The sequence below is a fragment of the Homo sapiens genome, chromosome 19 (genome assembly GCF_000001405.40).
Source record: "Homo sapiens chromosome 19, GRCh38.p14 Primary Assembly".
Taxonomy (NCBI): Eukaryota; Metazoa; Chordata; class Mammalia; order Primates; family Hominidae; genus Homo; species Homo sapiens.
In genome coordinates, this window is record NC_000019.10 from 45,406,435 (window position 1) to 45,429,225 (window position 22,791).

At 52.7% G+C, this 22,791-nt stretch overlaps 2 protein-coding genes across 17 annotated transcripts in view, besides 5 other annotated features; one reads left to right on the top strand and one right to left on the bottom strand.

Annotated features, from left to right (window-relative positions):
* Positions 210–4,303, top strand: POLR1G (RNA polymerase I subunit G). 2 transcript variants are annotated; one of them, NM_001297590.3, is made up of 3 exons: positions 210–290; positions 660–801; positions 1,699–4,303. In NM_001297590.3, exons 1-3 carry the CDS (start codon positions 263–265, stop codon positions 3,065–3,067), a joined length of 1,539 nt encoding a protein of 512 aa, NP_001284519.1. In that variant the 5' UTR covers positions 210–262; the 3' UTR covers positions 3,068–4,303. The 2 variants fall into 2 exon arrangements, with proteins under 2 accessions (NP_001284519.1, NP_036231.1); NM_012099.3 differs by having other exon boundaries at positions 210–284.
* The window catches only part of ERCC1 (ERCC excision repair 1, endonuclease non-catalytic subunit), a 44,214-nt gene continuing 22,322 nt past the window's right edge, over positions 900–22,791 (bottom strand). For 3 of the 15 annotated variants that reach the window (NM_001369412.1, NM_001369413.1, NM_001369414.1), the window contains 9 exons: positions 16,836–16,947; positions 14,744–14,959; positions 13,890–13,993; positions 12,664–12,763; positions 10,387–10,463; positions 8,427–8,526; positions 7,529–7,600; positions 7,243–7,311; positions 900–3,291 (listed from right to left, as the gene is read on the bottom strand). In NM_001369412.1, the coding sequence (NP_001356341.1) occupies positions 3,241–3,291; positions 7,243–7,311; positions 7,529–7,600; positions 8,427–8,526; positions 10,387–10,463; positions 12,664–12,763; positions 13,890–13,993; positions 14,744–14,959; positions 16,836–16,940 (894 nt within the window). In that variant the 5' untranslated portion in view covers positions 16,941–16,947 and the 3' untranslated portion in view covers positions 900–3,240. Of the gene's footprint in view, positions 3,292–6,276; positions 7,312–7,528; positions 7,601–8,426; positions 8,527–10,386; positions 10,464–12,663; positions 12,764–13,889; positions 13,994–14,743; positions 14,960–16,835; positions 17,095–17,346; positions 17,484–22,791 lie in introns of those variants that run through there. The other 12 variants (NM_001369415.1, NM_001983.4, NM_001369418.1 and 9 more) reach the window with 12 other exon arrangements.
* Positions 13,374–13,874: an enhancer, noted in NCBI's record as "H3K4me1 hESC enhancer chr19:45923066-45923566 (GRCh37/hg19 assembly coordinates)". NCBI's record gives its function as "activates a minimal SCP1, AML or CMV promoter by ChIP-STARR-seq in primed H9 embryonic stem cells {active_cell/tissue: H9 hESC(primed)}" and the evidence as "EXISTENCE:reporter gene assay evidence [ECO:0000049][PMID:30033119]".
* Positions 17,469–17,558: an enhancer, noted in NCBI's record as "active region_14795". NCBI's record gives its function as "activates an Ori minimal core promoter by ATAC-STARR-seq in GM12878 lymphoblastoid cells {active_cell/tissue: GM12878}" and the evidence as "EXISTENCE:reporter gene assay evidence [ECO:0000049][PMID:35858748]".
* Positions 17,619–17,668: an enhancer, noted in NCBI's record as "active region_14796". NCBI's record gives its function as "activates an Ori minimal core promoter by ATAC-STARR-seq in GM12878 lymphoblastoid cells {active_cell/tissue: GM12878}" and the evidence as "EXISTENCE:reporter gene assay evidence [ECO:0000049][PMID:35858748]".
* Positions 17,917–18,211: an enhancer, noted in NCBI's record as "tiled region #13779; HepG2 Activating DNase unmatched - State 1:Tss, and K562 Activating DNase unmatched - State 1:Tss". NCBI's record gives its function as "activates a minimal TATA promoter and a strong SV40 promoter by Sharpr-MPRA in HepG2 and K562 cells {active_cell/tissue: HepG2 | K562}" and the evidence as "EXISTENCE:reporter gene assay evidence [ECO:0000049][PMID:27701403]".
* Positions 22,171–22,350: a silencer, noted in NCBI's record as "silent region_10764". NCBI's record gives its function as "represses an Ori minimal core promoter by ATAC-STARR-seq in GM12878 lymphoblastoid cells {active_cell/tissue: GM12878}" and the evidence as "EXISTENCE:reporter gene assay evidence [ECO:0000049][PMID:35858748]".

The following is a 22,791-nucleotide window of genomic DNA, read 5'->3' on the forward strand; positions in this document are numbered from 1 at the left end:
CTCTGACTCCAGCAATACAGCGAATCAGCGGCTTTCGGGAATACATTTTTCGGAAAAAGACTTCTTCCTCGGTTTTCTGCTCTGCACACGTTGAAATTTTCCCCAGTTTTTCCTGCAGATCGGGAGTCGAGCAATGCCTACCCCCGCGCTCCCGCACCAGTTGGGCGCTCCCGGATGATGCCCTACCCCTTTGGATCCACGTGGTCTGCAACCTGGTGCGAGCAGCCCGGGCTACAGGGTTGCCTGAGGTGTGGGTCCCAGGATGGAGGAGCCCCAGGCCGGCGGTGAGGGTGCGGGTTGACGGGGTGCGGAGGGTGCGTTGGTGGAAGGAGAAAGGGGCGTCCGAGAGGGTTCGGGCGGAAAAGGAGGCGTACCTGCAAGCAGGACTTGCGAAGAGCGTGCATTCCCAGTGGGCGAACGGGAATTCGAACGGAGAGAGGGTTATCTTGTGGGGGGCTACCCGTGGAGAGCAAGGCGCCCCCAGGGGTTGGATCGGTGAAATTGAGGTCGCCCCTGGGGAACAGGTGGGCAGAAAGGAGAAACCAGGTTGAGGGGACTGGAGTGCTCACGAGGTTAAGACCAATGGACCGATAGGCGCGCCCTGCAAGATTGGACCGGCAAGGAGGTGTCAGTCGACCCCATTTCCCCTTCTGCTGCAGATGCTGCTCGGTTCTCTTGTCCCCCCAACTTTACCGCGAAGCCCCCAGCCTCAGAGTCCCCTCGTTTCTCCTTGGAGGCGCTGACGGGTCCAGATACGGAGCTGTGGCTTATTCAGGCCCCTGCAGACTTTGCCCCAGAATGGTGAGTGGTCTTGTTGACGGAAAAGAGGGTCCCGGTCCAGACCCCAAGAGCGGGTTCTTGAATTTGTCACAGGAAAGAATTAGAGGTGAGTCACAGAGCACAGTGAAAGAAACAAGTTTATTGGAAACTACTCCTTTACAGAGTAGAGTGTCCTCAGAAAGCAGGGGGAGAAACCCACAGCCCTTTGTTAGTATTTCTACTTATAAGAAACTATAAGGAACTATAGTTAAACTTGGAGTGTGCAGATAAGCTCACTAAAGGTAGGGGCTATTGGTGTTATCCACGACCATTAATCCTGCAACCTAAGCTTGCTCATTTATGTTATATTTAAGTAATGGGGGCTGCATTCTTAGGACATTTGGACATTCTGCAGGCTTGGTGGAACATGTTCTGTATGGCCATAAATATTCTGTAATTATAATTGGTGGTCAGCCTGGGATGTGGTTATTTTCAGGCCATAAGCATGAACCTTGTAAGTGCCTAGCTACTCACTTTAAGATGGAGTCACTCTAGTCATGTTTTATTAAAAACCAGAGGCCAGCCAGGCGCAGTGGCTGGTGCCTGTAATCCCATCCTTTGGGAGGCCGAGGCGAGCAGATCACTTGAGGTCAGGAGTTCAAGACCAGCCTGGCCAACATAGTGAAATTGTCTCTACTAAAAATACAAAAATTGGCTGGGCGTGGTGGCAGGTGCCTGTAATCCCAGCTACTTGAGAGGCTGAGGCAGGAGAATCGCTTGAACCCAGGAGGTGGACATTGCAGTGAGCCGAGATCATGCCACTGCACTCCAGCCTAGGCAACAGAGCAAGACTCTCTCAAAAAAAAACAAAAAAAAAATCAAAAAACCTTCCCTCTCCTGTTCCACTTAAGCCTCTGCCCTCCCTGTTTCTCTCTGTAGCTTCAATGGGCGGCATGTGCCTCTCTCTGGCTCCCAGATCGTCAAGGGCAAATTGGCAGGCAAGCGGCACCGCTATCGAGTCCTCAGCAGCTGTCCCCAAGCTGGAGAAGCGACCCTGCTGGCCCCCTCAACGGAGGCAGGAGGTGGACTCACCTGTGCCTCAGCCCCCCAGGGCACCCTAAGGATCCTTGAGGGTCCCCAGCAATCCCTGTCAGGGAGCCCTCTGCAGCCCATCCCAGCAAGTCCCCCACCACAGATCCCTCCTGGCCTGAGGCCTCGGTTCTGTGCCTTTGGGGGCAACCCACCAGTCACAGGGCCTAGGTCAGCCTTGGCCCCCAACCTGCTCACCTCAGGGAAGAAGAAAAAGGAGATGCAGGTGACAGAGGCCCCAGTCACTCAGGAGGCAGTGAATGGGCACGGGGCCCTGGAGGTGGACATGGCTTTGGGGTCGCCAGAAATGGATGTGCGGAAGAAGAAGAAGAAAAAAAATCAGCAGCTGAAAGAACCAGAGGCAGCAGGGCCTGTGGGGACAGAGCCCACAGTGGAGACACTGGAGCCTCTGGGAGTGCTGTTCCCGTCCACCACCAAGAAGAGGAAGAAGCCCAAAGGGAAAGAAACCTTCGAGCCAGAAGACAAGACAGTGAAGCAGGAACAGATTAACACTGAGCCTCTAGAAGACACAGTCCTGTCCCCGACCAAAAAGAGAAAGAGGCAAAAGGGGACGGAAGGGATGGAGCCAGAGGAGGGGGTGACAGTTGAGTCTCAGCCACAGGTGAAGGTGGAGCCACTGGAGGAAGCCATCCCTCTGCCCCCTACGAAGAAGAGGAAAAAAGAAAAGGGACAGATGGCAATGATGGAGCCAGGGACGGAGGCGATGGAGCCAGTGGAGCCGGAGATGAAGCCTCTGGAGTCCCCAGGGGGGACCATGGCGCCTCAACAGCCAGAAGGAGCGAAGCCTCAGGCCCAGGCAGCTCTGGCAGCTCCCAAAAAGAAGACGAAGAAAGAAAAACAGCAAGATGCCACAGTGGAGCCAGAGACAGAGGTGGTGGGGCCTGAGCTGCCGGATGACCTTGAGCCTCAGGCAGCTCCCACATCCACCAAGAAGAAGAAGAAGAAGAAAGAGAGAGGTCACACAGTGACTGAGCCAATTCAGCCACTAGAGCCTGAACTGCCAGGGGAGGGACAGCCTGAAGCCAGGGCAACTCCGGGATCCACCAAGAAGAGGAAGAAGCAGAGTCAGGAAAGCCGGATGCCAGAGACAGTGCCCCAAGAGGAGATGCCAGGGCCGCCACTGAATTCAGAGTCTGGGGAGGAGGCTCCCACAGGCCGGGACAAGAAGCGGAAGCAGCAGCAGCAGCAGCCTGTGTAGTCTGCCCCCGGGAAACTGAGGAACTAAAGAAAGCTGAAGGTGCCCACCTGGGCCACCAGAAGGTGACACCCCCAGAATCCCTCCCCAGAGACTGCACCAGCGCAGCCAGCAGGAGCCTGGCCTGGGAGGACGATTTATTATTACACTGGGGGTTTCCTTGGCAGCTGGGGTCATCAGGGTACTTTCAAGAAGGGCTCGTGCAGGACATCAAACAGCCTCCGGGCCTGGATGGGAGGGAGAAAAAAATGAGGAACCAGTCATTAAAGGAGCTGTTTCCTGGGTAAATCTAGAGTGGGGTTTTGGTTCTTTATTTTCCCCTATACCCTCAAGCATTTATCCATTGAGTTACAAACAATCCAGTTACAATCTTTTTAAGTTATTATTATTATTATTATTTTTTTTTTTTTTGAGATGGAGTCTCGCTCTGTCGCCCAGGTTGGAGTGCAGTGGCGCAATCTCGGCTCACTGCAAGCTCCGCCTCCCGGGTTCACGCCATTCTCCTGCCTCAGCCTCCTGAGTAGCTGGGACTACAGGCCCCTGCCCAGCTAATTTTTTGTATTTTTTTTTAGTAGAGATGGGGTTTCACCACGTTAGCCAGGATGGTCTCGATCTCCTGACCTCCTGATGCGCCTGCCTCAGCCTCCCAGTGCTGGGATTATAGGTGTGAGCCACTGCGCCTGGCTAAGTTATTATTATTTTTTTGAGACAGTCTCCTGGTGTCACCCAGGCTGGAGTGCAGTGGTGTGATCTTGGCTCACTGCAACCTCCGCCTCCTGGGTTCCAACGATTCTCCTGCCTCAGCCTCCCGAGTAGCTGGGCCTAAAGGTGCCCACCACTATACCCGGCTAATTTTTGTATTTTTAGTAGAGACAGGGGTTTCACCATATTGGCCAGGCTGGTCTCGAACTCCTGACCTCGTGATCCACCTGCCTTGACCTCCCAAAGTGCTAGGATAACAGGTGTGAGCCACCGCACCCTGCCAAGTTATTTTAAAATGTACCATTATTATTGACTATAGTCACCTGGTTGTGTTATCAAATAGTATGTCTTATTCATTCTTTCTTTGTGTGTGTGTGTGTGTGTGTGTGTGTGTGTGGTACCCATTAACCTTCCCCATCTCCCTGCCAGCCCCTAACTACCCTCCCCAGCCTCCAGGAACTATCCATCCACTCTTATCTCCATGAGTTCAATTGTTTTGATTTTTAGATACACAAATAAATAAGAACATGCAATGTTTGTCTTTCTGTGCCTGGCTTATTTCACTTAACATAATAATCCCCAGTTCATTATGTTGTAATTGACAGGATCTCATGTTTTTTTTGTTTTGTTTTGTTTTGTTTTGAAAAGGGTCTCGCTCTGTCGCCCAGGCTGGAGTGCAGTGGCACAATCTTGGCTCACTGCAACCTCCGCCTCCCGGATTCAAGCGATTCTCCTGCCTCAGCCTCCCAAGTAGTTGTGATTACAGGCACGCGCCACCACACCCAGCTCATTTTTTCATTTTTAGTAGAGACAAGGTTTCACCACGTTGGCCAGGCTGGTCTTGAACTTCTGGCCTCAAGTGATCTGCCCGCCTCGGCCTCCCAAAGTGCTGGGATTAGAGGTGTGAGCCACCGCGCCCAGCCAGGATCTCATTCTTTTTTATGGCTGAAGAGTATCCATTGTGTGTAAGTACCACATTTTCTTTGCCTGGTCATCTGCTGATGGACACAGGTTGGTTCTAAGTTTTGGCAATGTGAACTGTGCTGCAACAAACAGGAGTGCAGATACCTGTTCCATACACTGATTTCCTTTTTTTGGGGATATACCCAGCAGTGGGATTGCTGGATCATGTGGAACCTCAACTTTTCAGTTTTTAGAGGAGCCTCCAAACTGTTTTCCATAGTGGTTGTACTGATTTACATTCCCATCAAAAGTATATGAGGGTTCCCTTTTCTTCACATCCTCGCCACCATTTGTTATTGCCTGTCCACCATTTGTTATTGCCTGTCCTTTGGATAAAAGCCATTTTAAGGCCGGGCACCATGGCTCACACCTGTAATCCCGGCACTTTGGGAGACCGAGGTGGGTGGATCACCAGAGGTCAGGAGTTCAAGACCAGCCTGACCAACCTAGGGAAACCCCATCTCTACTAAAAATACAAAAACTAGCTGGGCATGGTAGCGAGTGCCTGTAATCCCATCTACTCAGGAGGCTGAGGCAGGAGAATCGCTTGGATCCAGGAGACGGAGGTTGCAGTGAGCTGAGATCATGCCATTGCACTCCAGCCTGGGCAACAGAGTGAGACTCCATCTCAAAAAATAATAATAAGCCATTTTAATAGAGCTGAGATGGTATCTCATTATAGTTTATTTTTGGTTTTTGGTTTTCTTTTTTGAGATGGAGTCTCACTCTGTCACCCAGGCTGGAGTGCAGTGGTATGATCTCGGCTCACTGCAAGCTCTGCCTCCCAGGTTCATGCCATTCTCCTGCCTCAGCCTCCCGAGTAGCTGGGACTACAGGTGCCCACCACCACACCCAGCTAATTTTTTTTTGTATTTTTAGTAGAGACGGGGTTTCACCATGTTAGCCATGATGGTCTCAATCTCCTGACCTCACGATCCACCCGCCTCGGCCTCCCAAAGTGTTGGGATTACAGGCGTGAGCCACCATGCCCGGCCTATTTTTGGTTTTTTTTGAGATGGAGTTTTGCTTCTGTTGTCCAGGCTGGAGGGCAGTGGTGTGATTTCAGCTCACTGCAACCTCCGTCTCCCGGGTTCAAGAGATTCTCCTGCCTCAGCCACTCAAGTAGCTGGGATTACAAGCATGCGCCACCACACCCAACTAATTTTTATATTTTTAGTAGAGATGGGGTTTCGCCATGTTGGCCAGGCTGATCTTGAACTCCTGGCCTCAAGTGATCTGCCCGCCTCGGCCTCCCAAAGTGCTGGGATTACAGGCATGAGCCACTGCACCCAGCCTCACTGTAGTTTTGATTTGCATTTTTCTGATGATCAATGATGCTGAGCACCTTTTCATATGCCTGCTTGCCATTTGTATGTCTTTTGAGAAATGTTAATTCAAATATTTTGCCCACTTTTTGATTGGATTATTATATTTTATCCTATAGAGTTGTTAGAACTCTTATCTTCTGATTATTGATTCCTTGTCAGATGGTTAGTTTGCAGATATTTTCTCCCATCCTGTGTGTTGTCTCTTCACTTTGTGGAATGTTTGCTGTGCAGAAGCCTTTTATTCTTTTTTTTTTTTTTAATTTTTGAGATAGAGTTTCACTCTTATTGTCCAGGCTGGAGTGCAATGGCGCTATCTTGGCTCACTGCAACCTCCACCTCCCGGGTTCAAACGATTGTCCTGCCTCAGCCTTCCAAGTAGCTGGGATTACAGGCATGTGCCACCATACCTGGCTACTTTTTTGTATTTTTAGTAAAGATGGGGTGTCTCCATGTTGGCCAGGCTGGTCCCAAACTCCTGACCTCAGGTGATCCAGCCGCCTCAGCCTCTCAAAGTGCTGGGATTACAGGCCCAAGCCACCGCACCTGGCTTAGAAGCTTTTTAATTTGATGTGATCCCATTTGTCCATTTTGCTTTAGTTTCCTATGCTTATAGGGCATTACTCAAGAAATCTCTGCCCAGTTCAATGTCCTGGAGAGCTTCTCAATGTTTTCTTGTAGACGTTTCATGCATTGAGGTCTTAGATTTAAGTCTGTAATCCATTTTAATTTGATTTTTGTATATGGCGAGAGATAGCTATCTAGTTTCATTCTTCCTCATTGGATTGCTTCTGCTTTGAGACAGGATCGCTCTGTCACCCAGGCTGGAGCGTAGTAACATGCTTATAGCTCACTGCAGCCTCAACCTCCTGGGCTCAAGCGATCCTCCCACCTCAGTCTCCCCAGTAGCTGAGACTACAGGCACGTAGCAAGCTCACACCACCATGCCCAGCTAGTTTTTTTTATTTTTAGTAAAAATGAGGTGTCCACTTGCCCAGGCTGGTCTCCAACTTCTGGCCTCAAGCAGTCCTCCCGCCTTGGCCTCCCAAAATGTTGGGATTACAGGCGGAAGCCACTGTGTCTGGTCTTTGGTTCTTTTTTCACCTTAAAACTTTGGGGTCTCAGGTTGTGTTTATTTGGGGCTCTCTCCTTCCCCCAACTCCTTGGGTTCTTTCCCAGAGCTCTTACTTTCTGAGGGCCCAGGCCTGGGCATAAGGCCAGATCTTCTCTTGATGCGGCGATGAGCTGTTCCAGAGACTGAAAGGTGAAAGCGAGGGGTCAGGGCAGTTGAGCACAAAAGCCTCCCCTGTCCCAGCTGAGGAGGGGCCTCAGATATTCCCCAGGGGAGATGAGGGCCTGTGGGAAGGCAGGACGGGCAAGGGGTGGGCAGGGAGATGGAAGGAAATGGGTGACAGGCTTTCTAAAAAAGGCAAGGGGACAGAAATGCCTATGGGGCAGGGGAGCCATTCCTTACTCCAAATGTGGTCAGGAGGGTCTGACTGTCCGTTTTGTTGACTGACTTCACGGTGGTCAGACATTCAGTCACCTGGAAAGGGTGGAGGCAGGAGTGTGTCGGAAGAAGAAAGGCCAGCAAGACTGAGCCTAGGAGGGCAGGGCTGGGTCACAGCTGTGTCCCCAGACTGCCTGGCGTGCAGGAAGCACTCAATAAACGCTTTTTTTCCCAACTGATTAAAAAGTCATCTCAGGCTGGGCGTGGTGGCTCATGCCTAATAATCCCAGCACTTTCGAGGCCGAGGCGGGAGGATCACCTGAGGCCAGGAGTTCAAGACCAGCCTGGCCAACACACTGAAACCCCATCTTTACTAAAAAATACAAAAATTAGACAGGCATGGTTGTGGGCACCTGTAGTCCCAGCTACTCAGGAGGCTCAGGCAGGAGAATCACTTGAACCTGGGAGGCAGAGGTTGCAGTGAGCCGAGATCATGTCATTGCACTCCAGCCTGGGCAAGAGAGTGAGACTCCATCTCAAAAAAAAAAAAAAGGAATTAGGCAGGTAATTGGGCAGAGGGAACAGAAGGGGCAAGTGCTTGGAGAAGCGAGCTAGGCCTGGGAGAAGTGAAGTGTGAAGTGGAGGCCACGGGGCTTCTGAGCCTGACGGGCCCTTGTTGAGCCTGGTGAGAAGTCTGGGCTTTCTCTCGGGGTACTGGGGAGCCATGGGAGGATTTTGAGCTAGGGAGGGTAGCAGCAGATTTGTGCTCAGGAAAACCCCTCTAGCTGCAGTTTCGGTGGGATGGGCCAGGAAAGACGAGGCCCAGGGATGAATGGACAGTGCCTTAAAATTGGAACTGAAGCTCAACCACCCAGGAGCTGCGGGGAGGCCCAGGCAGGGATGGGAGGTGAGGTGGCCTCACCCGGGAGACGAAGTCCTGCTCTAGCTTCTCCATCAGGAGGTCCGCTGGTTTCTGCTCATAGGCCTTGTAGGTCTCCAGGTACCGCCCAGCTTCCTCGGGGCTGGGATAACAGGATACAGGGCAGCCGGGAGGTGAGGTATCAGATTATAGATTTGCTTCATTATGGTCAGTCATAAGAATTGCCAATACTAGGCCGGGCGCGGTGGCTCACGCCTGTAATCCCAGCACTTTGGGATGATGAGGCAGGCAGATCATCTGAGGTCAGGAGTTCGAGACCAGCCTGGCCAACATGGTGAAACCTCGTTTCTACTAAAAATACAAAAAAGTAGCTGGGCTTGGTGGCGCGTGCCTGTAGTCCCAGCTACTCAGGAGGCTGAGGCAGGAGAATCGCCTGAACCCGGGAGGCGGAGGTTGCAGTGAGCCAAGATCACGCCATTGCACTCCCGCTTGGGCAACAAGAGTGAAACTCCATTTCAGAAAAAAAAAAAAAAAAAGGCCGGGTGTGGTGGCTCACGCCTATAATCCCAGCACTTTGGGAGGCTGAGGTGAGCAGATCACCAGGTCAGGAGATCGAGACCATCCCGACTAACATGGTGAAACCCCATCTCTACTAAAAATACAAAAAATTAGCCGGGCGTGGTAGCGGGCGCCTGTAGTCCCAGCTTTTCAGGAGGCTGAGGCATGAGAATGGCGTGAACCCGGGAGGTGGAGTTTGCAATGAGCCGAGATCACGCCACTGCACTCCAGCCTGGGCGACAGAGCCAGACTCCGTCTCAAAAAAAAAAAAAAAAAAAAAAACAATTGTGGTTGCTAAAAATCAAAATTCCAGCCCATCCCCCGCCAAATACAACCTGGTAGTAACCACTGCTGGGCGCATCTTGATATCTTTTCTGGCTACAGGCCAGCTCTTGGGAGCCCAACCCCACTTCTCCCTGGGTAACCCTGGGCCAGTGGTTTGCTCTCTGGGCCTGTTTCCTCACTGTAAAGTGGGGTGGTCAGGCATAGTGGCTCATGCTTGTAATCCCAGCACTTTGGGAGGCTGAGGCAGGAGGATCACTTGAGCTCAGGAGTTCAAGACCAGCCGGGACAACATAGCAAGGTGTTGTCTCCACAAAAAATTAAAAATTAGCCAGGTGTGGTGGCGCGTGCCTTTAGTCTCAGCTGCTCGGGAGGCTGAGGCAGGAGGACTGCCTGAGCCTGTCAAGTTGAGGCTTCAGTAACCTGTGATAGCACCACTGCACTCCAGCCTCAGCAAAAGAGCAAGACCCTGTCTCAAAAAAATAATAATAAAGTGGGGAGGATGGTATGACTTTGAAGATCAGAGAATACTCTGGAATGCTCTGTAAGTGCCAAAAGCCACGCCTGGCACTGCTGAAGAAATGTTAGCTATTTTGGAAGGGAAGTCAGCACACAAAGTGTTTGTACTGGGTTTGACAGGAGGAAAACCAGAAACACTGCTTATTTTCCCGCTGCAGCAAGAAGCCAACCTCATGAAATGTTCAGCTTCCAACCGGGCACAGTGGCTCACGCCTGTAATCCCAGCACTTTGGGAGGGTAAGGCGGGAGGATCACCTGAGGTCAGGATTTCAAGACCAGCCTGGCCAACATGGCAAAACCCGTCCCTACTAAAAATACAAAAAAATTAGCTGGGCGTGGTGGTGCACACCTGTAATCCCAGCTACTTGGGAGGCTGAGGCAGAATTGCTTGAACCCCCAAGGCAGAGCCGAGATCGTGCCACTGCACTTCAGCCTAGGGGACAGAGTGAGGCTCTGTATCAAAAAAAAAAAAAAAAAAATTAAGACCTTGTTTTACAGATGAGGAAACTGAAGGCCAGAGAGAGGCAGTGCCTGCACCAGGCCCACACAGGAAGGAGAAGGGAAGGGCTGGGCAGGGTGGGATGGGGGAGCAGGGACCAATCCCAGGTGGAGCCTGAATGAGGCAGGGAAGCCCTCATCTCACCTCCAGGCGAGGATCAATGTGCAGTCGGCCAGGATACACATCTTAGCCAGCTCCTTGAGGGCCTGCTGGGGATCTTTCTGGAGGAGAAAATCAGAATTAGAAACCTAGAAGCCAGGAATTACAAAAATTAGCCAGGCGTGGTGGCAGGTGCCTGTAATCCCAGCTACTAGGGAAGCTGAGGTGGGGGAACTGCTTGAACCCGGGAGGCAGACGTTGCAGTGAGCCAAGATCGCGCCACTGCACTCCAACCTGGGCGACAGGGTGAGACTCTGTCTCAAAAAAAAAAAGAAGAACAAAAAAAGAATTAAAGCCTGAAAACACAGTAGCTCAGGATGCCAAGAGCCTCTCACCCAATTGTCACTCTCTAAGCTCCTACTGGGTGCCTGGCCCGTGCTAAGCAGTGCTAGGACCCAGCAGTGGCTGAGACAGCCCTGACTCTGCCCTCCCAGGGCTCACAGTCTGATGAGCAGGACAGACCTGTCCCCAGACACTGATGATCTGGAGTGGCCAGGGCTGCGATGTGGGAGCCAGAGGAGGGACTGAGCCTGCCTGGGGGATCAGGGAGGGCTTCTTGGAGGAGGGGACATTAGAGCTGAGACCCAAAGGAGGATGAGGAGGAGGAAAGGATGAAAAGGAGACCAGAAAAGGGAATTCCAGACATAAAGAACAGCATGGGCAAAGGATGGGAGGGGAAAGAGGGCTTGAGGAATTATAATTCGCTCCCTACGGGAGAGAGGATGTGAAATTCCATGAGGAGCATGGAATCTTAGAGACGGGCCTGGAGAACTGGGTAGAGGTTGGAGGTCACACAGGGCCCCATAGGTCATGGAAGGGAGCAGAACTTTCTCCTAGGGTGCTTAGGAGCCATGTGAGTTTTATGATCTTTTTAATTTTTTTCAGACGGAGTCTCGCTCTGTTGCCCAGGCTGGAGTGCAGTGACATGATCTTGGCTCATTGCAACCTCCACCTCCCGGGTTCAAGCAATTCTCCTGCCTCAGCCTCCTGAGTAGCTGGGACTATAGGTGCCCACCACCATATTTTTTGTATTTTGTAGAGATGGGGGTCTTCACTATGTTGCCCAGACTAGTCTCGAACTCTTGGCCTCAAGTGATCCTCCTGCCTCAGCCTCTCAAAGAGCTAGGATTACAGGCATGAGCCACTGCACCCAACCCAATGGAAGAGGAATGCTTGAGGCCAGGAGTTCAAGACCAGACTGGGTAACATAGCAAGACCCTGTCTCTAAAAATTAAAAAAAAAAATCACCTGGTGGGGGTGGCTCACACCTGTAATCCCAACACTTTAGGATCACCTGAGATCAGAAGTTCAAGACCAGCCTGACCAACATGGTGAAACCGCATCTCTACTAAAAATACAAAAAATTAGCCGGTCATGGTGGTACGCACCTGTAATCCCAGCTATTCAGGAGGCTGAGTCAGGAGAATCACCTGAATCCAGGAGGTGGAGGTTGCAGTGAGCCAAGATTGCACCACTACACTCCAGTCTGGGCGAAAGAGCGAGACTCTGTCTCAAAACAATCAATCAATCAATCAATCAATAAAAATTAGCAAGGCATGGTGTCATCCCAGTTGCTCGAGAGGCTGAGGCAGGAGAATCGTTTGAACCCAGGAGGCAGAGGTTGCAGTGGGCTAAGATCTGGCCATTGCACTCCAGCCTGGGCGACAGAGGAGACTCCGTCTTAAAAAAATAAAAGAGAGAGATATGGCCAGGCACGGTGGCTCATGCCTGTAATCCCAGCCTTTGGGAGGCTGAGGTGGGTGGATCACCTGAGGTCAGGAGTTCAAGACCAGCCTGGCCAACATGGTGAAAACCAGTCTCTACTAAAAATACAAAAATCAGCCGGGCGTGGTGGTGCATGCCTATAATCCCAGCTACTCAGAAGGCTGAGGCAGGAGAATCGCTTGAACCCCAGAGGTGAAGGCTGCAGTGAGCCAAGATCAAGTCATTGCACTCCAGCCTGGGCAACAAGAGCGAAACTCCGTCTCAAACAAACAAACAAACAAACACAAAACAAAAAGAAGAGATATTTAGGTGGCAGAGATCTGGGACTAATTGAAGGGGATGTGGGGAAAGAGGAAATAGACAATTTTGCCCTCCCCTCTCCTTGCCAACATAATGTCTTGGTGACCCATGTCATCTCAGATGTGAAAAACGTTCCTCGCTGAGGTTTTAGCTGCATTTCCTCTTGGAAGGGATTCAACAGCCCACTGCACAACCTCAAAGCCCGGTGAGGCTGGCTAGGGAGCAGCCCCTGCTTACCACATCCACCTGGACAAGCAGGACCCGCAAGGCGAAGTTCTTCCCCAGGCTCTGCAGCCGCCCATGGATGTAGTCTGGGTGCAGGTTGTGGTAGCGGAGGCTGGTGGGGGCAGGGAGCGGGAGTTGAGAGGTCTCAGTCTCTTCAAGACCCCCAAAGCCCTTTTCCCTCTCACTGGAATACTAAGGGCTCAGAGTACGGCATGGGGGACAGAGGGTCCTGAGGCCCACAGAGGGTAAGTCACTTGCCCCAGGTCACTCTTCCAAGAAGATGCTCCGCAGGGATTGGCAGCCAGGGCCACATGGCTGTGCTTACCTAGAAGACCAGACCCCTGGCTTCTTCATGAAGAGGGGAAGAGACTTGGGCTTCAAGGGGAGAACAGGTGCCAGGGGCCCTAGAGAGTGTGGGCACGGGGACACTGCATGGCTCGCGGTGGGAAGCAGGGCCCACTGCCAAACCATCTGCTCTGGCCTTGGAGGGCTACGGTGAGGGCTTCATGACCCAGGGAACTAGGACTGGCTCTGCCCAGCAGTCTGCAGCTGTCACAGCCTGCAGGGAGCACAGGAACTCAGAGGTTTCACTTCCTCTGTCTGGCCCTGTCTGCAGAGGGGCCCCTAGGTTGGAGGGGAAAGTTGTTTAACTAGGGTAGAGATGGGAGAAATCCTGCTTCTCATCAACTCCAGTCAAGGATGTCTGGGACATGAGTGACCCAGTCCCTCCTCCGTCAGATCCAGGAGTCTGGGCCCAGCCCCTCCTCCCTTAGACCCAGGAATCTGGCCCCAGCCCCTCCTCCCTTAGACCCAGGAGTCCAGGCCCCCAGCCCCTCCTCCCTGAGACCCCAGGAGTCCAGGCCCCCAGCCCCTCCTCCCTGAGACCCCAGGAGTCCAGGCCCCCAGCCCCTCCTGCCTCAGACCCAGGAGTCTAGGCCCCAGCCCCTCCTCCCTCAGATCCCCAGGAGTCCAGCCCTCAGCCCCTCCTCCCCCGGACCCAGGAGTCCGGCCCCCAGCCCCTCCTTCCTGAGACCCAGGAGTTCGGGCTCCAGCTCTTGTTGCACTGGGCACCTCCAGGCCAAGACCCCCTGCCTCCAACACAGGGTCCCACCAAGGCCCAGAACCTGCAGGACCATGCCCAGAGGCTTCTCATAGAACAGTCCAGAACACTGGGACATGACCCTCCCAGGCCAGTGGGGTGCCCTTCCTGAAGTCTGGGGTGGCGCCGCAGAGCTCACCTGAGGAACAGGGCACAGGTGCTCTGGCCCAGCACATAGTCGGGAATTACGTCGCCAAATTCCCAGGGCACATTGCGCACGAACTTCAGTACGGGATTGCCCCTCTGGGGAGGGACGAAGGGCAGAAGCCATCAATAGGGATGACCCTTGATAACCACAGGGCCCTCCTCCACCTCTTCTTGCACCTCCTCCCTCCTCCCACCTCTTCCCACACCTCCTGCCTCCTCGCACCTCTTCCCACACCTCCTCCCTCCTCCCACCTGTGGCAGGGTCTTTTCCAGCTTCTCTCTCCTCCTAACCCTGGACAGTCCCTGATCCTCTGATCCAGGCTCCTCCCCTCCATGCCCACTGGCACCAGGCCTTTCCTAAAGGGTCCCCGGGTCTGTCTCCAGCTCAGCCCTCTCCCTCCAGCCCCAGTCTGCGTGTCCTGTGGTCCTGAACACTTCCTGCCCTCACGCCCAGCAACTTTTTGTGTTTTTAGTAGAGATGGGGTGTCACCATATTCGCCAGACTGGTCTCGAACTCCTGACCTCAGGTGATCCACCTGCCTCAGCCTCTCCAAAGTGCTGGGATTACAGGTGTGAGCCACCACACCCAGCCTCATTCAGTACATTTTGAATAAATTAACAAACCTGGGGTGAGGAAACAGAGCTACACCAATACAGCCACAGCCCCAGCAAGTAGAGCTGGGGCACTCTCAACCCACACACTGCTGTCGAATGAATGAATGAATGAATGAATGAATGGGGAGAACAAAGTGGCTGGAACTCAGACCTCCTTGCACTGGAGTCATCCCTAGAACAGCGTTTCCCACTGAAAACCTCAAGGCCTCACTTCTCCGTCTCCCTCCTCACCTGCCGAGGGCTCACAATGATGCTGTTGGATTTTGCCCCGGGTTTCAGGGCCTGGTTGGGCGTCTCTCCTGCCAGGGGCTCTGACCCTGTGGGGCACGTGGCCCCAGCCCCTTCCAGAGGCTGTGAGATGGCATATTCGGCGTAGGTCTGAGGGGCCGCCTGGGCCGAGGTGTCCACAGTGGGAAGGCTCTGTGTAGATCGGAATAAGGGCTTGGCCTGTGGGGAGAAAGGGAGTTTGCAGGGGACTGGTTGGGGTGAGCAGAGGACATCTGAGGCCCTGTGAGTTCCTCTCCCCTTTCTTTTTCTTTTTTTGAGACAGTCTTGCTCTGTCACCCAGACTGGAGTGTAGTGGCACTATCTTGGCTCATTGCAACCTCCACCTCCCGGGTTCAAGCAATTCTGCCTCAGCTTCCCAAGTAGCTGGGATTACAGGTGCCCACCACCACGCCCAGCTAATTTTTTTTTTTTTTTTTTGAGATGGAGTCTTGCTCTGTCACCCAGGCTGGAGTGCAGTGGCGTGATCTCGGCTCACTGCAACCTCCGCCCCCCAGGTTCAAGCGATTCTCCTGTCTCAGCCTCCCAAATAGCTGGGACTACAGGCGTGTACCACCACGCTGGCTAATTTTTGTATTTTTAGTAGAGACAGGGTTTCAACATGTTGTCCAGGCTGATCTCGAACTCCTGACCTCAGGTGATCCGCCCGCCTCGGCCTCCCAAAGTCCTGGGATTACAGGTGTGAGCCACAGCACTTGACCCCTCTCCCCTCTTCAGGGCTGCCCATCCTCCTTCCTCCTAATGTCCCTTCCAGAAGGCTGAGAGCTCAAAATCTGAATTCAGCCACTTCTCCCCCACTCCTCAGCCTCCACTCTGGTCCCAGCCACCAGCGTTTCACCCTTGGACCACTGAAGTCACTTCCTCACCAGCTCCTTGCCCACACCCTCGCCCCCTGGAAGTCTGTCCCCTAACTAAGTCCTCATGTCCCTCCTCTGCTCAGAGCTGGTGGGTGGCTCCTGCCTCAGAGTGAAAGCCAAAGCTGTCACCATCACCCACAAGGCTCTAGATCTGTCCCTGCTCCTTGCCTCAGAAACTACACCTTCTACCACTTCTCCTTGCTTTCTCTACTCCAGCCCCACCAGACTTCGTTCTGCCCTTGAACACGGCAGGCTCTCTCTGACCTCAGGGCTTTGGCACTGGCTGTTCCCTCTACCCCAGATGTCGCCATGGCTCACTCCCTCACCTCTTTCACGTCTCTACCAAGATGTCACCTCCTCAGAGAGGCCCTCCCTTGACCTTCCTATCTAAAGTAGGAAGGGGCCAGGCATGGTGGCTCATGCCTGTACATCCCAGCACTTTGGGAGGCCGAGGTGGGCGGATCACTTGAGGTTCGAGACCAGCCTGACCAACATGGTGAAACCCGTCTCTACTAAAAATACAAAAATTAGCCAGGCGCGCTCCTGTAATCCCAGTTACTCGGGAGGCTGAGGCAGGAGAATCGCTTGAACCCAGGAGGCAGAGGTTGCAGTGAGCCGAGATGGTGCCAGTGCACTCCAGCCTGGGCAAAAGAGCGAGACTCTGTCTCAAAAAAATAAATAAATAAATAAATAAATAGAGTAGGAAGGTCCTCTCCCCCATCATGCCCTACATCCTTAGCCCACTTTCCTTTTCTTCATAGCCAATGCTCATCACCCGTCGATTGTTTTCCCTTGGGAAGGAGATTTCAATATTGCCAGGTCCTTCCATTTACCAAAATATGTCTAAAGTGTAGATTTTTTTAAGATTGCAAAACCTGGCGATTCTTAAACACGAGCAATAAATTCATGTCTTGAAAAATCAGGGTGCTGGCCTCGTAAAACACATCAGGGGCTACCTGCTGAATGCCAGTGTCTGGCCTCTGCCTTAGCCCTCTCTTAGAACCACCCATCCATTTCACAGATGGGGAAACTGGGACCTGGGGAGGACCAAGGACTGTTTCCCCAAGTCGTCCGTGGCCCCCAAATCCACTAACCCACACCCTGGTCCCACAGGCCCCATCCTATCCTCTTCGTCCTAACAGCCCCCAGCCTCCCAGGGGCCCCGCATCTCCTTGTCCTACCACTCCAGGAGGGACCTCATCCTCGTCGAGGGGTATCACAAATTTCTTCCTTGCTGGCGGCCCTGAGGGCTGGGGCACCCCCTCTTTGTCCTTCCCAGGGTCCATCTGGAGCCTGAAAGGGAAGGTGCCAGGAGCGAGTGAGCCACTGGCGTCTACGTTCTCATCCCGCAGCAGGAACCCCCCACTCACAGCCGTCCCCCACAAAACTCCGAGAGCTCCATAGCGTCAGGTCCCCAACACCCAGCGCTAGAGGCTCTGTAACGCCACGCCCCTTTGACCTCCACCTTCGGCTCGCCCCGCCCCTTACAGGTCCACAAGTCCCATCGCTCCGCCCCTCGCCCCCACCGGATTCTATTGGCTCCGTCCCCACCATCCCCCGCCTTCCGTTCGTCCGGCCCCCGAGGCTAGCATCTGGACGCCCTCCCCACGCCTGGCCTTGTCCATCTCTCAGACTCGGCAATGATTGGCTTCCGCGGCGCCAATCTCCACCCGCAGTCTCCGCCTCCCGCACCTGTGGTCCGGGCCTCACGGTTTCAGCGCCGCGAGGCCTCACCTGCTGGTCTTGGAGCCTCAAGGGAAAGACTGCAGAGGGATCGAGGCGGCCCACTGCCAGCACGGCCAGCGTGGCCCAGGGCTCGCAGCACTTCCGGCCTCTCTGGCCCCGCTCCCCAGGAGAGTAGAGCATAGAGCAGGGCGATCTCTGTACAACTCTCTATGGTTCTGGAGGACCGCGGAGGTCGTGGGAGGAGAGAGATGTGGCCTGAGGATCTGGCTCCCAAACTGTTAAGTTTCAAAGCCCTTACTGAGCGCTTCTGTGTGCCCAGAATCCTGGCAGGGCTCAGTGGAGAACAGATCGCAGGAGATCCAACTTGGTCCCTCCTCTCAGTAAGGAGAGACTTAAGTTTGAATCCAACTCAGACATTGACTTGGCTTCAGTTTCCTCATTCATTCATTTATTCCACACCTATTCCCCCCACGCGCTTCCTCTCTTCCCGGTCCTGTGCGAGTCCGTGCTGGTGACACAGCAGTGACCAACGACAGCCCCGTGTTGTCCTCCCGGAGCTTACGGTTCAGTAAGGGACACAGACACGTTCCCAGTGCTGACCCAGAATGGGCAGGTCTGGGATGGGAGATCCCGGGAGAGCCGTGGGATGGGGGTCAGGGGGAGCGCCTGACTCAGCCCCGGAGTCCGGAAGGGCTTCCTGGAGGAAGGGACATCTGAGCAGGGGCCTGGCTGATGAGTTAGTATTAGTCACTTCCTGAAAGGATAGTATCACACTGTTCTAACTTGCAGCTCTCTGATTACTAAGGAAATGGAATGTTTTTTGTGAAAGTATTGGTCTTGTAAATTTTGTCTTCTGTGAATTGCTTGCTCATATTCCTTGTCCATTTTTAAAATGGGTTGTATGGCTTTTTTATTACTATTAATTTCTAGGGGTACTTTATGGATTCTGATTCTAATCCTTAGTTACCCATATTGCAAACATTTCCTCCTAGTTTCTACTTTGGGCTTTAACTTTAGTTATTTTTGGCACAGAAGTTATTTGTGTTTATGCGCAACTATTTATCAATCTGTTCCGTTCTGACTTTTGCTTTTGGTGTGTTAAGAGCCCTGCCATAACCCAGGGTCATAATGATAAATTCTTTTTTTTCTTTTTTTTTTTTTTTTCGAGACGGAGTTTCGCTCTTATTACCCAGGCTGGAGTGCAATGGCGCGATCTCAGTTCACTGCACCTCCCCCTCCCGGGTTCAAGCGATTCTCCTGCCTCCTTAGTAGCTGGGATTACAGGCATGTGCCACCATGCCCGGCTAATTTTTTTTTTTTTTTTTTTTTTTTGTATTTTTAGTAGAGACGGGGTTTCACCATGTTGGCCAGGCTGGTCTCAAACTCCTGACCTCAGCTGATCCTGAGGTCACTTTGTGACCTCCCAAAGTGCTGGGATTACAGTGCACGGCTATAATGATATATTCTATCATTTCTTTTATCTACGTAAAAGATAAAAGCCCCGTGTTGTCCTCCCAGAGCTTACAGTTCAGTGAGGGACACAGACACGGTCCCAAACAGTAATGACCTAGAATGAGCAGGTCATCTGGCTTTAATCTATGTAAGATTTATTTATTTATTTATTATTTTTTGAGATGGAGTTTTGCTCTTGTTGCCTAGGCTGGAGTGCAATGGAGCAATCTAGGCTCACTGCAACCTCCGCCACCCACATTCAAGCAGTTCTCCTGCCTCAGCCTCCCAAGTAGCTGGGATTACAGGCTAACTTTTGTATTTTTAGTAGAGACGGAGTTTCACCATGTTGGCCCTGCTGGTCTCGAACTCTTGACCTCAAGTGATCTGCCCACCTCAGCCTCCCAAAGTGCTGGGATTACAAGCATGAGCCACGGTGCCTGGCCAAGATTTATTTTTGAAAGTGCACCGAGGTCGTTGTTTATGAGTGATGTAACCAATTGTCTCAAGTTGACCAAAGGTAGATCTTTTCTCCACTGTTCTGAAATTCTACCTTTATCACATACCAAATTCCCATACACACACGTCTATTTCTGACATTTCTGTTATGTTCATTGATCTTTTTATTTATTCTTGCCTGCATGTACATGACATCCCTCTGTTTCTTTGTTCACATCAGTCTTTCATCTATGGGTGTCTATCTGTGTCTACATTTTCCCATTTTACTTAATTTTTTTTTTCTGGGCATGGTGGCTAATGTCTGTAATCCTAGCACTTTGGGAGGCCTAGGCGGGTGGATCACCTGAGGTCAGGAGTTCGAGACCAGCCTGACCAACATGGAGAAATCCTATCTCTATTAAAAATACAAAATTAGAGTCCCGGTGCAGTGGCTCACACCTGTAATCCCAGCACTTTGGGAGGCCGAGACAGGCGGATCACGAGGTCAGGAGTTCAAGACCAGCCTGGCCAATATGGTGAAACCCCGTCTTTACTAAAAATACTAAAATTAGTTGGGCGTGGTAGCGCACACCTGTAGTCCCAGCTACTCAGGAGGCTGAGGCAGAAGAATCGCTTGAACCTGGGAGGCGGAGGCTGCAGTGAGCCGAGATTGTGCCACTGGACTCCAGCCTGGGTGACAGAGCCAGACTCTGTCTCAAAAAAAAAAAAAAAAAAAAAAATTAGCCGGGCATGGTGGCACATGCCTGTAATCCCAGCTACTCAGGAGGCTGAGGCAGGAGAATTGCTTGAACCCTGGAGGCAAAGGTTGCGGTGAGCTGAGATCGCACCATTGCACTCCAGCCTGGGCAACAAGAGTGAAACTCCATCTCAAAAAAAAAAAAAAAATTTTTTTTGAGACAAGGTCTTGATCTATTGCCCAGATTTATTGTCCTGAACCTTGCTTACCTCAAATGCCTTTTTCTTTTCACCCTAACAATTGAAATCCAGAATTCTAGGCTGGGTGCGGTGGCTCATGCCTATAATCCCAACAATTTAGGAGGCCAAGGTGGGCAGATTGCTTGGGCTCCAGAGTTCAAGACCAGCCAGGGCAACATGACAAAACCCCATCTCTACAAAAAAACACAAAAATTGGCTGGGCAAGGTAGCTCATGCCTGTAATCCCAGCACTTTGGAAAGCTGAGGCAGGAGAATCACTTGAACCCGGGAGGTGGAAGTTGTAGTGAGCCAAGATCACGCAATTGTACTCCAGCCTGGGCGACAAAAGCGAAACTCCATCTAAAAAAAAAAAAAAAAAAAAAAAGCTATGTGTGTTGGTGTGCACCTGTAGTCCCAGATACTCAGGAGGCTGAGGAGGGAGAATTGCTTGAGCCCAGGAGGCAGAGGCTGCAGTGAGCTGCGATTGTGCCACTGCACTCCAGCCTGGGTGACAGAGTGAGACCAAAAACAAACAAAACAAAACAAACAAACAAACAAAAAAACGAAAGAAAAGAAAGGAAAGAAAAAGGAAATCCAGAATCCTAGGTTCTTAGTATTGTTTCTTGCAATGTTAGAAGATATAGGGGCCAGGAGAGGTGGCTCACGCCTAGTAGGAAGGAAGGAGAATCAGTCTAATAGTCTCATCACTAGGTATAATTTTCCCCCAGGAGGCCGGGCACAGTGGCTCACGCCTGTAATCTCGGCACTTTGGGAGGCCGATGGAAGGTGGATCACGAGGTCAGGAGTTCAAAACCAGCCTGGCCAAGATGATGAAACCTTGTCTCTACTAAAAAATACAAAAAAAAAATTAGCCGGGCGTGGTGGCGGACGCCTGTAATCCCAGCTACTCGGGAGGCTGAGACGGAGAATTGCTTGAACCCAGGAGGCGGAGGTTGCAGTGAGCCGAGATTACACCACTGCACTCTAGCCTGGGCGACAGAGCGAGACTCCGTCTCAAAAAACGAAAAAAAGAAAAAATGAAATATGCCTCTGTATCCAAGACCATACAGCGATTCTAGAAGTAGGTCATCCCAAGTAGAAGGGCTTGTGACTCAGTTATCCCCTTGGGGAATGGAATTGCCAGACTTAACCCTGCAACTCCTGCGTTTTCTGCAAGGGGGCGATGGTGCACCACAAGAGGATTGGAAGTGTTGGGGAGCCGGGGCCTCTCTGCTCCGCCAGAACCCAGCGGGGGCAGGACCCCCTAGAAGGCGGCCCATTCCCCGCTCCCGATTCATTTCCTTGAAGCAGAAGTGCGGTAAAGGGCCCGCCGCCTGCGATCAGTGGAATTCTGAATCGGTTAACGTTAGTTAAGAGCGAGGGGAAAAAATTGCCCTGGGTTCTACGTTATTTCCAAGTTGGCAAGTTGGATGTTGGATTTCTACCCTCAGTTTCTTTTCTTTTTTTCTTTTTCTTTCTTTCTTTCTTTTTTTTTTTTTTTTTTGAGACGGAGTCTCTCTCTGTCACCCAGACTAGAGTGCGGTGGTGCGATCACACCTCACTGCAGCCTCAACCTCCCGGGCTCAGATGATCCTCCCACATCAGCTTACCGAGTAGCTGGACCACAGGCGCGCGCCACCACGCCTGGCCAACTTTTGTATTTTTTTTGTAGAGGCGTGGGGGTGGGGGGGTGGGGTCTCACTATAGCCCAGGCTGGTCTCGAACTCCTGGGCTCAAGCGATCCTCCCTTCTCGCCCTCCCAAAGTGTCGGGATTACTGTAGTGAGCCACTGCTCCCAGCCTAAGCTGTTTCAAAACTAAACTTTGGAATCCCGGATTCGAATCTCCCCGGCTCCCAGAGTTGCGCGTTCGAATCCCCCAGCCGTATCCAAGCTCCGATTCCGCCTCTTTCTTCCAAACGCCCCAAGTTCCAGAATTCAGCCGCAACTCCAGTTTGGGCCACTCCCCAGCTACGGCCCCTGCTCCCATCCCAAACCTTCCCCTCCTCTCAACTTCGAGCCCTTTGTTCGCCCCGGAACGGGTGGGGTGGGGACGGAGACTGTAAGGACGGGACCCTCACCGACAATTCCGCCAAAGGGGACCTGAACGGGGGGCGGAGAGCAGCCCGGCCGAAGGCTCTGGAAGCGGGCACCGCCGGGGGGCGCAGTGACCAGGCTGGCGTCCCCGCCCGCCTCTAAACTTAGCCGCGGTGACGCGCGGCCCGGCGATCGCGGCGGGGCCGGGGACGCAGGGGGGCCCGAGTGGAGGGGGGCGGCTCGGCTCGGCGAGCCTCTATTTATAGCGCCCGGAGCCCGAAATAGCGCGGAGCGGAGCGGCCGGGATGACGCGGGAGCCGCCGGGGGCTGACTCACCCGGCCCCAAGCGGAGGCCCCCGGATGGGGGGCAGTGGAGGCGCCTAGCCCCTACTCCGCGTCCTCCCGGGCACCTTTTTTGGTGGGACATCCCAAGTCTCCGCTGGAGAGGCTGTGGATGGATGTACAGCAAAGGAAAGATCTGCAGCATGAGAGACTGAGGTTGGATCAGAAGTGGGACTTCCACACACACAAAAAACCCCAGAACTGGGCCGGGCGCGGTGGCTCCCGCCTGTAATCTCAGCACTTTGAGAAGC

What these genes read in the sequence shown, in the direction of transcription:
- POLR1G (NM_001297590.3), top strand. Translation starts at nt 263, where the DNA reads ATGGAGGAGCCCCAGGCCGGCGGTGAGG. An exon ending in GCCCCAGGCCGGCGGTGAGG is followed by an intron (nt 291 to 659) that starts GTGCGGGTTGAC and finishes CTTCTGCTGCAG; the next exon opens with ATGCTGCTCGGTTCTCTTGT. An exon ending in GCAGACTTTGCCCCAGAATG is followed by an intron (nt 802 to 1,698) that starts GTGAGTGGTCTT and finishes TTCTCTCTGTAG; the next exon opens with CTTCAATGGGCGGCATGTGC.